Source organism: Homo sapiens, chromosome 2 (genome assembly GCF_000001405.40).
Source record: "Homo sapiens chromosome 2, GRCh38.p14 Primary Assembly".
In the NCBI taxonomy this organism is placed as follows: domain Eukaryota; kingdom Metazoa; phylum Chordata; class Mammalia; order Primates; family Hominidae; genus Homo; species Homo sapiens.
This window is the reverse complement of record NC_000002.12, coordinates 119,271,007-119,284,430: the sequence shown is the minus strand read 5'-3', so window position 1 is coordinate 119,284,430 and position 13,424 is coordinate 119,271,007. Positions and strand designations below refer to the sequence as shown.

The 13,424-nt window shown below is 43.2% G+C and overlaps 1 protein-coding gene across 3 annotated transcripts in view; it reads left to right on the top strand.

Annotated features, from left to right (window-relative positions):
* C2orf76 (chromosome 2 open reading frame 76) overlaps positions 1-3,301 on the top strand; it is an 86,022-nt gene extending 82,721 nt beyond the window's left edge. For 2 of the 3 annotated variants that reach the window (XR_007069611.1, XR_007069609.1), the window contains 3 exons: positions 1,904-2,060; positions 2,564-2,680; positions 2,930-3,301. The gene's annotated coding sequence lies outside the window, so the exon portion shown is untranslated. Of the gene's footprint in view, positions 1-1,903; positions 2,061-2,552; positions 2,681-2,929 lie in introns of all 3 variants that reach the window. The other variant, XR_001738623.3, reaches the window with a different exon arrangement.
* Positions 3,302-13,424: the final 10,123 nt, after the last annotated feature.

Genomic DNA, 13,424 nt, shown 5'->3' with positions numbered 1-13,424 from the left:
CTGCTGTGGAGAAGTTTTCTGCCCTCAATAAGCCCTACAACTGTACACAGTTTGGTTTGAGTCCTATTTTCATCATCCGCAAAATTAGCCTACTTATGCCTTTGTGGTGTGTCAGCATTGAATATTGGGGTGTCGGCCAAGTGCTTAGCCAGGAGCCTGTCTGCGGCATGGCTCAGCCAGGCGGGATGTGACATTCCCTCGTGGTCAGTGAGGCATGCTGTCCTGGCTATGACGATTGGGAGGATGTGAAACTGAAGCTGGGTGCTGGCGAATCATGGAGGCAGCTGGGAACCTCAGTGTCTCAGGCTCAGTTCCTCAGCTGGGAATGAGAAAAGGGTGTGGCTTAGGAGAGGGGTAAGCCTGATGTCTAAAACCGCTTTCCTCTCATGGGTGAGCAAGTTGAAAAGCCAGATTCTACCAGGGAGGTGGCACAGGACGCCTTGGCTGTGCTCCCGGATGTGTGGGGCTGTTTCATCACACAGTTGCATGGGACTTGCTTGTGTGCTCAACTTTCCGGGATGTCCTGAGACTGGACTTTCCAGTTTCCAAGATTCAGTCCCATTGTCAAAGCCTAATATCTGATTTTTTGATTTGATTATATGGTGTAGAGAAGTGGAAAAATCCTCAAGTTTGGGTCATTAAACATTGTAAAATAGGGCCAGGTGCAGTGGCTCACACCTGTAATCCAAGCACTTTGGGAGGCTGAGGCGGTTGGATCATTTGAGGTCAGGAGTTCAAGACCAGGCTGGCCAACATGGTGAAACCCCATCTCTACTAAAAATACAAAAATTAGCTGGGCGTGGTGGTGGGCGCCTGTAATCTCAGCTACTCCAGAGGCTGGGGCAGGAGAATCGCTTGAACTCAGGAGGCAGAGGCTGCAGTGAGCCAAGATGGCGCCACTGCACTCCAGCCTGGGCAACAGGGCCAGACTCCCTCTCAAGAAAAAAACAAAAACAAAAACAAAAAAACCAAAAGAACCATTGTAAAATAGAAATGGATATGGGGAAGAGAGAGGGGGAGAAGGCAAAGCAGGAAGGAGGAGGCAGGAAGGGCAGAGCTGGCACCAAGGCAGGCCCTGGGCTGGATGCCCAGGAGTGTGGGCAGAGGGGGTGCAGCACTGAGAGGCGGACTGGAAGCTTCCATTGCCAAGCTCATGACAAAGAATGGGAGGCAGGGAGGAGGCCCACAGATCTTGCTGAGTGCTAAGCGCCTGCACCCCTGCCCCGAGCTACACCTTGGTGCCACTGTTGACAGTCAGCCCAAAGCCTCCAGGGAGATGTTCACCAGTGTCTCTCAGGGACTTGGGCTTCCTTCCCACCAAGGAAGAGGGAGAGAGACTAGGGCTGCCCTCCACTGTGAAGGACCCTGCTAATTATTCATGACATCCCCGCAGAGTGGCTGGACTGCCACAGCTTCCCCTGTGCCCATCCTCAAAGACAGCCTCAGAAGTGGACATCCGTCTTTCAGGAGGGGCTTAGAGGAGCTCTCCCAAGGACGAGCATGTTGTTTCCCCCCGCAGCCTTGAGTTTTGAAGAGTGAAGCGGGGGTGGTTAGTGATTCTAGGTTTAATGCTTCCACCCGATTGCCCATTTCATCACACTCCTCAGTATTATGACATTTGGATTATTTTTTAATCTTCTCTTCCCCTTTTTGTTGTTCTGCTGTTGAACCGATTATGCAGAACTGTGTGTTGATGTCTCTGTGGCACCTTCCCTCCAGGGATGCAGCTCTGTTTTCCAAACACCCCGCTTAATCCTCTTAGGAGGGAGGATGCACCGGGGTGCTCACCCTGTCCGTCAGGGCCGGCAGAGACGGACGCTTTACAGGTGTTTGTTAACCTGGACCATGCTGGACGGGAGGCTTGGAGGCACCAAGATGCCAAATCTCTTACCCATCCCTCCAGCCAGGCGTCTCAAGTGGCTAAAGAATAAATGCATGAAAATTAAGAGCCAGCTCTGCCTGCGAAAGAGAACAGGAGCAAGCTGGCTGTTGGCTGTCATCTGGAGTCACCTACTGGGAAGTGCCGAATCACCCCAGACCAAGGACAGGAAGGAGGCTTGGTGAGTGACAGTCCCACCCTGGCAGCGCCATGAACAGCAGTTCAAAGTGAAAACAGACTCCCTGCATCAGAGCCGACCTATTGGTATAAGAGATTTCACTTGCAGCCCAGCGGCGTTTGTGATAAATAGATCCACATAGGATTGCCTGGTTTCATTTTTCATGTATGTGGGCTTCTCGGGACACCTCTCACTTTCCCAACTTTTTATATCTTTTTTTTTTTCTTTGAGACGGAGTCTGGCTCTGTTGCCCAGGCTGGAGTGCAATGGCATGATCTCGGCTCCCTGCAACCTCCACCTCCTGGATTCAAGTGATTCTCCTGCCTCAGCCTCCCGAGTAGCTGGGATTGCAGGCGTCCACCACCACACCTGGCTACCAATTTTTATATCTTAATGGCCTTTCCAGAACTTTCCAGAACATGTACAACATGCTCCTAGTGGGCCTGGGGATGGTTGAGGGTGGGTAGCGCAGTAAGACAGTTACTGTTACTTCAGTTTTCTTTCAGGTCTTCTGGTTGAGTGAGGAAGAGGTTTCAGTTTGGTGATGGCAACGTCCTTAAGACTTCACTTGCTTCCCTCTCTCTGTTCTTTTGAGAGCGGGTCTCCACCAAGCATTTTAGCAGGTAAAAAATCTAGCTAGAATTTAATCATATTATTTTGTTTTTATTTATTTTGAGGTTGTAACTGCTTTAAGGTCTTATAGCCAGTAATAACGGTTTCCTATTCATGTTAGGATGTTTATTTAGCAAACGCTTATATAGCACTTACTCTGTGGAAGATCTGTTTTAAATACCTTAAAAAGAGAAACTGTTTTTTCTCTCTCTGTCATTCTCATTCTCTCTCTCTCTCTCTTTTTATTTTCTTTGTGGTAGGGTCTCACTCTGTCACCCCAGGCTGGAGTGCAGTGGCAGGATGGCAGCTCACTGCAGCCTCGACCACCCTGGCTCAAGCTATCCTCCCACCTCAGCCTAAGAGAAACTCTTGGAACGGAAAACCAAATACCACATATCCTCAGTTATAAGTGGGAGCTAAATGATGAGAACACGTGGACACAAAGAGGGGAACAGCAGACACCGAGGCCTACTTGAGGGTGGAAGTTGGGAGGAGGGAGAGGAGCAGAAAAGATAACTTTTGGGTACTGGGCTTAATACCCGGGTGATGAAATAATCTGTACAACAAACCCCCATGAGATGAGTTTTCCTGTGTAACACCGAACCTAAAATAAAAGCTAAAAATAAAATTAAGTTAAAAGAGAAGCTGTCATTTTTCTCATAACCTAATTACAAACCTATGTGGTAAGAACTATAATCACCCTCATTTTATAGCTGGGGAAACTGAGGCAAGAGGAGGTTAAATCGGGTTAGGAAGTAGTAGAAGTGGTGCTGAAACCCTGGCAGTGTGGCTCCAGATTTTGTGTTCCTTTTTTTTTTTTTACCATTTTTTTTTAGAGATAGCGTCTTGCTGTCAGCCAGGCCGGAGTGCTGTGGTGCAATCATGGCTCACTGCAGCCTTGACCTCCTGGACTCAAGTGATCCTCTCAACTCAGCCTCCTGAGAAGCTGGAACTACAGTTGTGCACTACCAGCTTGAGTAATATTTTAAAAAAATTTTTTGTAGAGATGGGGTCTCACTATGTTGCCCAAGCTGGTCTTGAACCCCTGGACTCCAGTGATCCTCCTGCCTCCCGGATTCCTGTGATTACAGGCCTGAGTCCCCATGTCTGGCCTGGATTTTGTGTTTTTAACCTCTGTGCTATGCTGCCTCTCCATAGGGAACATTAAAAATTAATGTTTTCAGGCCGGGCGCCGTGGCTCACGCATGTAATCCTAGCACTTTGGGAGGCCAAGGCAGGTGGATCACCTGAGGTCTGGAGTTCGAGATCAGTCTGGCCAACATGGTGAAACCCCATCTCTACTAAAAATACAAAAATTAGCCAGGTGTGGTGGTGGGCGCCTGTAATTCCAGCTACTCCAGAGGCTGAGGCAGGAGAATCGCTTGAACCCGGGAGGTGGAGTTTGCAGTGAGCTGAGATCGCACCATTGCACTCCAGCTTGGGAGACAGAGCGAGACTCCGTCTCCAAACAAACAAACAAACAAACAAACAAACAAACATTTTCAGGGAAAACAAGTGAGTAGATTTGAAGGAAACGTTGATATAAAGAAATGAGGTCCAAGCCTGGGTGGAAATGGCAGATATGGTGGAGGTGAACGGAAATGGATGCAGCGGCTGGCCACACTGGCAGATACAAGGAAGAAGGAGCTAGTGGATTAAGCACTTACTTGACCTCAGACACGGCACACTCCTCAACAGGGTCTCTGGAGCCTCAGCTAAACATTCCCGCGGGTTGATTCTGTAGTAGAGATACCTTGCCGGAACAGATGTATTTGTAGTAATACACACATGCACACACATATACTGCTGCTTTTGCTATTAGGTACCAGTCCTTTCCTTTCACCTTGGTGTCAGCCATAGGGTGGTTTTCAGCTCTGCTCAGAGATAAGCTGAGGAACTCCTCCAGGCCCTACGGATGGGGGTGGTGCTGGGCAGGGAGTCAAGGCCAGGCTACTCCTGAGGCCAAGCAAGGTCTTAACCAAGTATTGAAAAGTGACCTCAGGCCAGGTGCAGTGGCGCAGGCCTGTAATCCCAGCACTTTGGGAGGCCCAGGCAGGCGGATCACCTGAGGTCAGGAATTTGAGACCAGCCTGGCTAACATGGAGAAACCCCGTCTCTACTAAAAATACAAAAATCAGCCAGGCATGGTGGTGGGCACCTATAATCCCAGCTACTCAGGAGGCTGAGGCAGGAGAATCACTTGGACCTGGGAGGTGGAGGTTGCAGTGAGCTGAGATTGTGCCACTGCACTCCAGCCTGGGTGACAAGAGTGAGACTTTGTCTCAAAAAAAAAAAAAAAAAAAAAAAAGAGAAAAGTGACCTCAGTCTTCCTACTCAAAAAGGAAAGTGCTAGGTTCAAACATGACTGGACCATGATTCTCAAACTTCAGGGTTTACATAATGAAGAATTTAAATCTTAGAGATTGATTTGGATTTGGCAGCTCTTTATTTTACTAAGTATGGACATTAAAAACCAAACCACAGTTCCCTAAACAAAGTCCGACCACTGTCTATCATCACTATCAATACGTAAATGAAAGGAGATCCTAACACAGAAACATAGGGAGGAAATAAACTCCGAATAACCCGTGTGCGTGTGCATGTTTGCATGCATGTGCATATCACATTGCTTAAGATGATGAAAACTTCTCTGGGGAACAACATTGGCAGTATTGGGAACCACCGGCCTGGAGTGCCTGTCTGCTGTTTTTGCTGTCTCCTGTTGGCTGCCTTAACTATCTTAATTTAAAAATTACCTCCCTCAAGTCATACCAACAAGGTATTTCCTGGTTATCCTGAAATGGAAGGTCCTGATTATGGATTGTCCTGGCTCTTACTCTCTGCAGATTTTTTTTTTTTTACTTTAAATTCTGGGATACATGTGTAGAATGTGCAGGTTTATAGGTATACATGTGCCATGGTGGTTTGCCGCATCTATCAACCTGTCATCTGGGTTTTAAGCCCTGCATTCACTAGGTATTCATCCTAATGCTCTCCCTCCCCTTGCCCCCAACTCCTGACAGGCCCCAGTGTGTGATGTTCCCCTCCCTGTGTCCATGTGTTCTCATTGTTCAGCTCCCACTTATGAGTGAGAACATGTGGTGTTTGGTTTTCTGCTTTTGCGTTAGTTTACTGAGGATAATGGCTTCCAGCTTCATCCATGTCCCTGCAAAGGACATGGACTCATTCTTTTTCATGGCTGCATAGTATCCCATGGTGTATATGTGCCACATTTTCTTTATCCAGTGTATCATTGATGGACCTTTGGGTTGGTTCCAAGTCTTTGCTATTGTAAATAGTGCTCTCTGCAGATTTGTAAAAAGCCATTTCCCACTTGGCCCCATCACCAGTGGCGTAGAAAGTCCCAGGAGGCTGTGAACTTTGAGAGGACAGCCATGGTGTCTGCTCACTGCCCTATCCTAGGACCTAGCACAGGGCCTGGCGTAGGGCGGGCACACAATACCTATTTGTTGCATAACTGAATGAATGAACAGATGAATTGCTGATGAAAAAGAGAATTCAATTTTTAATTTGTATTCTTAGTGTGCAGATCTGATAAAGTCTTCATATAAAACACATTTGTGAATCATGAAACATGATAATCAAAAGTATACTGTGAACCTACCACACGACCTAGGAAGAAAACTTGGGTCTAGCTCCCCTATCCCATGCTCCTTGCTTCCCTAGAAATAAAAACCAGCTTGAATTTTGGGTTTATCATTCCCCTGCTTTTTTAAAGAATAGTTTTAAAAATCACGGGTCTACTTATTCCTAAACAATATTGTTTAATTTTTGCTGATTTCTGAGCATTATAAAAATGTTATCGTGGTATACAGTCTATCCTAAATTTTGCGTTTGCCAGCCTTGCTTCCTTAAAATATAGTTTCAAAAATCACATATGTATGTATTCCTAAATAATACACTGTTTCATTTTTGCTTGGTTTCTAAGGCTTATAAAAATGGTATCATATAGCATGTAGGTTTTTGATACTTGTTTTTTTCCCTGTCCATAATCATGTCTCTAAGTTTCACTGGAAGAATAGGTAATTTATTTTCATTGCTGAATAACAGGCCATCATCTGAATAGCACAATTTATTCATGCCCTCCTGTCAATGGAGTTTGGGGCAATTATGAACAATACTGAAATCAACACTCTTTTAAACAAATTTAGTTGCTAAAAAAGAAACCATTATGGCCAGGCGCGGTGGCTTATGCCTGTAATCCTAGCATTTTGGGAGGCCAAGGCAGGCTGATCACTTGAGGTCAGGAGTTTGAGACCAGCCTGGCTGACATGGTGAAACCCCATCTCTACTAAGAATACCAAAATCATCCAGGTATGGTAGTGGGCGCCTGTAGTCCCAGCTACTCCGAAGGCTGAGGCAGGAGAATCGCTTGAACCTAGGAGGTTCAGTGAGCCGAGATCGCGCCATTGCACTCTAGCCTGGGCGACAGAGTGACACTCCATCTCAAAAACAAAAACAAAAAACAAGCCAAAACCAAAACCAAAAAACACCGTTATACATATACGTGTATATATAGCATAAGACAAAATGAGAGGTTAACGAAATTACAAGATAAACACCTTTAAACATCCCCACATAAAGGAAGCTGACTCTGACCCCATAAGCCTGCCAGGCTCACTTTCCCAAATGCAATGCCACGCCCCTCCTCCAAGAGTAAACGCCAGCCTGGCTTTTGTGCTCATTGCCTCTTTTCTTTGCAGTTGTGCTCCCCATTACTGAATACCACAGATGAGCTGTGCCTTCCTCCCCTCCCCTCCCTTCCCTTTGCTTTTATGTCAAAATATTAGGCTGTCGTTTTCACCCGTGTGTTTCTCTGGCATGCTTTTATCGTCTGCAGGGATGTTATTCTACTTTTTATTTTTTCTTTGAATAACCGTGTGGGATTTGACTTCAATCCTTTTCTGCTACTTATGTTTACATAATATTAGATTTCCTGAACTTTTTGAAAGGAGGTATAATTTAAGGGTTTTTCTCATTTCACAATGGTAGAGCACTCTCTTCTGTTGTTTTTGTTCAGTATTTTAAAAATAGGGCACCTCACTTCCTGAGAACTTCCATTCCGTTCTCCCCTACTGTAGTCTGGGTTCTCTTTTTTGCTTTTCTCTATTTTCCTGAAGTGCTCAATTTGGAGTCTGTTCCCAGCTGGGGTTCTATTCTGGATAGGGGCTTGGGCTGGTTAGTTTGGAGTGTTTATTAGGCCCAGTCTTCCCTGGCCTCTTCTGACTTTACCTTTGGAACTCACATGCTTTTACTGAAGGATACAAATACCTCCCTGGGTCAGGTGCTGTCCTCCACCTGCCTGGTGGCTTTACAATAGTTGTTTCTTGATTATTTTAAAGTTCTTGTTGCAGGTGATCAGTGACTATCTGGGCCAGTAGCATGGGCAGTAAGAAGAATTTGCCAAGACAGTTGTAGGTTTAAAATAGGCAGATTTATTAGAGAAAGTAGGCAAATAGGTTGCAAGGATGCAACAGGCAGGTTAGCAAGAGAGGAACTGACTGCAAGGAAACATAGGCTTCCTGGGGATTTTATAGGATGGTGCTTGTGCTATGTGCTGAAGAGGGCTTTGCGCAGTACTGATAATGCCAAGGTTGCAGGGAACTAAATTGCATTATTTTATTAGTTGAGGGTTGGCACAGGAAGGCACAGTTGAGAACAGGAAGATTGTGAGTTATTTGTACAGGAGGGCTATGTGTTTTGGACCTTATAAAATCCCTTATACCTTATCTGCTTTCTGTTTTTTGCTTCCTCTGCTCCTGCCAGCCTGACTTCTTTCCCCTTGTTAGGACCTCACAGTTCTGAGGCCTACCAGGTGCTCTGTTGCTTCCTTCTGTGTCCTCCAACACAGCTGCTGATACCATGCAGATCTTGTAGGTGTGTCTCCACCCATTTATGTTTTAGGGTTTGTAGGGATTCAGTGTCATCTGGTTTGTTGTAGGGATTTTCCATGGGTTTTTAGTTTTGCAATCCTGGCTGCTTTGTGTATCTTTATGGGGGATTTGAAGAGATTAAATAATTATACCATCAAGGCTGCCACCTTCTCAGAATCTTCATGTTGTTTTCATATACATTGAATTTTTTTTTTTTTTTTGAGATGGAATCTTGCTCTGTCGCCCAGGCTGGAGTGCAATGGCACGATCTCGGCTCACTGCAACCTCTGCCTCCTGGGTTCAAGTGATTCTCCTGCTTCAGCCTCCCAAGTAGCTGGGATCACTGGTGTGCACCACTATGCCTGGCTAATTTTTGTATTTTTAGTAGAGACGGGGTTTCACCATGTTGGTCACGCTGGTCTCAAACTCCTGACCTCAGGTGATCTAGCCTTGGCCTCCCAAAGTGCTGGGATTATAGGCGTGAGCTACCGCATCCAGCCTACATTGAATATTTTTATATACATTCACTATTGCCCACCTACAAGAATTTTTCTAAATATACTTTGGGGAGAAATTACAGGCTGTTAGGGTATGTAAAGGCTCAACATTATAATGCTAAATTGTTTTCTCAAGTTTCTGTATCAATTTATGTTGCTACCTTCCTTCTGGTTTCTTTAGATTTGGTTTTCTCCGCTTTTCTAGTTTCTTAAGATGATAGTTTAAGTAGTTGATTTGAGATTTTTCTTCTTTTTAAATACAGTTATTTACAGCTATAAATTTCCCTCCAAGTACCTACCGCTTTAGCTGTACCCCAGAAACTTTGGTATGCTATTTTGTTTCCTTCATCTCAAATTTTTTTCTAAGTTCTCTTATTTGTTCTTTGACTTCTTGGTTAAGAAGAGTGTTTTTTAATTTCCACATATTTGTGAATTTCCCAAATTAATTTTTGTTATTGTTTTCAAATTTTATTCTATGGCGAACATACTTTTTATAATTCTAATCTTTTAAAATTTATTGGGACTTATTTTGTGGTCTAATGGATTGTCTCTCCTGGAGAATGTTCCATATGTACTTAAGAATGTGTATTCTCCCTCAAAGGTCTAGAACTAGAAATACAGATTGACCCAGCAATCCCATTACTGGGTATATACCCAAAGGATTATAAATTATTCTTCTATAAAGACACATGCACACATATGTTTATTGCGGCACTAATCACAGTAGCAAAGACTTGGAACCAACCCAAATGTCCATCAATGATAGACATATGCACCATGGAAAACTATGCAGCCATAAAAAAGGATGAGTTCATGTCCTTTGTAGGGACATGGATGAAGCTGGAAACCATCATTCTCAGCAAACTATCACAAGGACAGAAAATCAAACACCGCATGTTCTCACTCATAGGTGGGAACTGAACAATGAGATCGCTTGGCCACAGGGCATGGAATGTCACATACCGGGGCCTGTCAGGGGGTGGGGGGCTGGGGGAGGGATAGCATGATAGATGCAGCACACCAACATGGCACATGTATACCTATGTATCAAACCTGCACATTGTGCACATGTACCCTAGAACTTAAAGTATAATAATAAAAAAAAAAAAAAGAATGTGTATTCTTTGCTGAGTATGGTGGCTCATGCCTGTAATCTAGCACTTTGGGAGGCCGAGGCAGGAGGATCACTTGAAGTCAGGAGTTCAAGACCAGCCTGGGCAAAATAGCAAGATCCTGTCTCTACGAAATGAGCAACTTAGCAAGACCCTGGCCAACATAGCAAGACCCTGTCTCTACAAAAATTAATAATTAGCTGAGTGTGGTGGTGCACACCTGTGGTCCCAGCTACTCGGGAGTCTGAGGTGGGAGGATTACTTGAGCCCAGGAGGTAGAAGCTGCAGTAAGCCATGATCGTGCCACTGGATGCCAGCCTGGGCAACAGGGCGAGACTCTATCTCAAAAAAGAATAATAAAAGAATGCATATTCTGCTGTTGTTGAGTAGAGTGTTCTATAGATGTGTGTTAAGTATAGTTGTATACAGTATTGTTCAAATCTTCTATTTCCTTGGTAGTCTTTTGTCTAGTTGTTCTACCCATTACTGAAAATGAGGTATTTTCAGTAATGGGTAGACTTGAGCCCATGAGTTCAAGTCCAGCCTGGGCAACATAGTAAAACCTCATCTCTTGACAAAACAAAACAAAAACAAAAAACCCAAAGATTTGAAAGTAAGAGGATGGGCCAGGCACAGTGGCTCACACCTACAATCCCAGCACTTTGGGAGGCTGAGGTGGGTGGATCACAAGGTCAGGAGATGGAGACCGTCCTGGCTAACGGGGTGAAATCCCATCTCTACTAAAAATACAAAAAACTATCATTGTTGAATAGTTTATTTTCCCTTGAATTCTGACAGCTTTTACTTCATATCTGAGGCTCTATTGTTAGTTGCATGTATGTTTATAATTTATATAGTCTTAATGGATTGACACTTTTACTATTATAAAATGTTCATTATTATGTAGTCATCCCGTTCTCTTTTGGTTACTGTTTGCCTATCTTTTTTCCTTCCTTTTACTTTTTTCTTTTTCTTTTTGAAATGCCATTTTGCTCTTGTTGCCCAGGCTGGAGTGCAATGGCATGATCTCAGCTCACCACAGCCTTCACCTCCTGGGTTCAAGCAATTCTTCTGCCTCAGCCTCCTGAGTAGCTGGGACTACAGGTGTGTGCCACCACGCCTGGCTAATTTTTTGTATTTTTAGTAGAGATGGGATTTCACCCTGTTAGCTAGGATGGTCTCCATCTCCTGACCTCGTGATCCGCCCACCTCAGCCTCCCAAAGTGCTGGGATTGTAGGTGTGAGCCACTGTGCCTGGCCCATCCTCTTACTTTCAAATCTTTGGGTTTTTTGTTTTTGTTTTGTTTTGTCGAGCGATGAGGTTTTACTATGTTGCCCAGGCTGGACTTGAACTCTTGGGCTCAAGTAATCCTCCTACCTCAGCCTCCTGAGTAACTGGGACTCCAGGCACATGCCACTGTGCCTGGATGGGTCATTTAAAAGAATTATTTGTTCTGCCAATCTCTGCCTTTTCTTGCAGTGTTAAATCCTTTCACATTTAATGTAATTACTGCTAAGTTAGACCGTATTACATCATTATACACTGTATGCCCATCACCACAGATATATAGTTACTTCTTTCTTTCTTCCTTTTTTTTTTTTTGAGTGACAGGGTCTCACTCTGTCACCCAGGCTGAGTGCAGTGGTACAGTCATGGCTCATTGCAGCCTCCACCTTCTGGGCTCAAGTGGTCCTCCCACCTCAGCCTCCTGGGTAGCTGAGACTACAGGCACGTGGCTATTTTTTTTAATTTCTATTTTTTGTAAAAATGGGGTCTTGCTATGTTGCCCAGGCTGGTCTCGAATTCCTGGCTCAAGTGATCCTCCTGCCTCAGCCTCCTGAAGTGCTGGGGATTACGGGTGTCAGCCACTGCACCTGGTCTACATGCTCACTTTTTGTTTTCTTGAATCAGTTTTGGTAAGTTATATTTTTCTAAGTTTCAAATTTATTTGTATAATCTCATGTATAAGATTCTCTTATTATCTTTTAAATTTCTGTCTCATCTGCAGTTTTCTCTCCTTTTTATGCCTACAATTATTTGAGCATTTTATCGTTTTTCAGGATCAGCTTTATCAGAGATTCATCTGTTTGATTAGTTTTATCCAAAAACCAACCTTTGGCTTTGTCAATCCTCTCTATTATATTTTTGTTTCCTAGTTCACTAATTTCTACTCTTACATTCAGTATATCTTTCTGTGTGTATCTATCTTTTACTTTCTGTGGGTTGGATTCTTTTTGTACTGATTTTCATCAAGGTTATTGATTTCCTTCCAAGCAGTATTTTTGCTGCATCTCTAAATATTTGATATGAAGATATTTAATAATCATTCACATTTAAAAATTTTGAAGAATTTTCAGTGTAATTTTCTCTTTGATTAATGACTTATTTAGAAATGTGTATTTAAAGCTTTAAAATGTATAGACATTTAAAATATAGCATTTTAGGCCAGGCATGGTGGCTCATGCCTGTAATCCCAGCATTTTGGAAGGCCAAGGCAGGAGGATTACTTGAAGCCAGGAGTTTGAGACAAGCCTGGGCAACATAGCAAGATCTCATCTCTAAAAAATAAGTATTAAAAATTAGCTGAGCACACTGGTGTGTGCCTGTAGTCCCAACTACTCAGGAGGCTGAGGCAGGAGGATTGCTTAAGCCCAGGAGTTTGAGGCTGCAATGAGCTGTGATCGTTGTGTCACTGTACTCCAGCCTGGTGACAAAGTGAGACCCTGTCTCTAAAATATAAATATATATATATGATATATATGTGTGTGTACACATATATGTATACATACATACATATATATGTATGTATACATATATATGATATGTATGTATACATATATATACACACATATATATAGCATTTTGTTCTTGATTTCTAACTTTCTTGCACTCACTTGAGAGAATGCCGATACTTATTATTTGAAATTTATTGAAATTTGCTTTATGGTATAATATGTTTTCAATTTGTTTTCTTGAGAAAAATATAATTTTTCTATTTCGTATTATATCCAACTTGTGTTGTTATACACACATACATGTGCACACATGCATATAATTGTCTGTTTGTTATAATCTCTTAGTATAATGAGGGATTTGTTCACATTTCTTTCTTTTTTTTTTTTTGCTTTACATATTTTGAGGCTATATTATTAAAAGCACATTATTCTAAAATATTTAAATCTTTATTTTATTATTATGTAGTAATTCTCTGTATTCCTAATAATGTCTTTTCTCATAAAATATGCTTTATA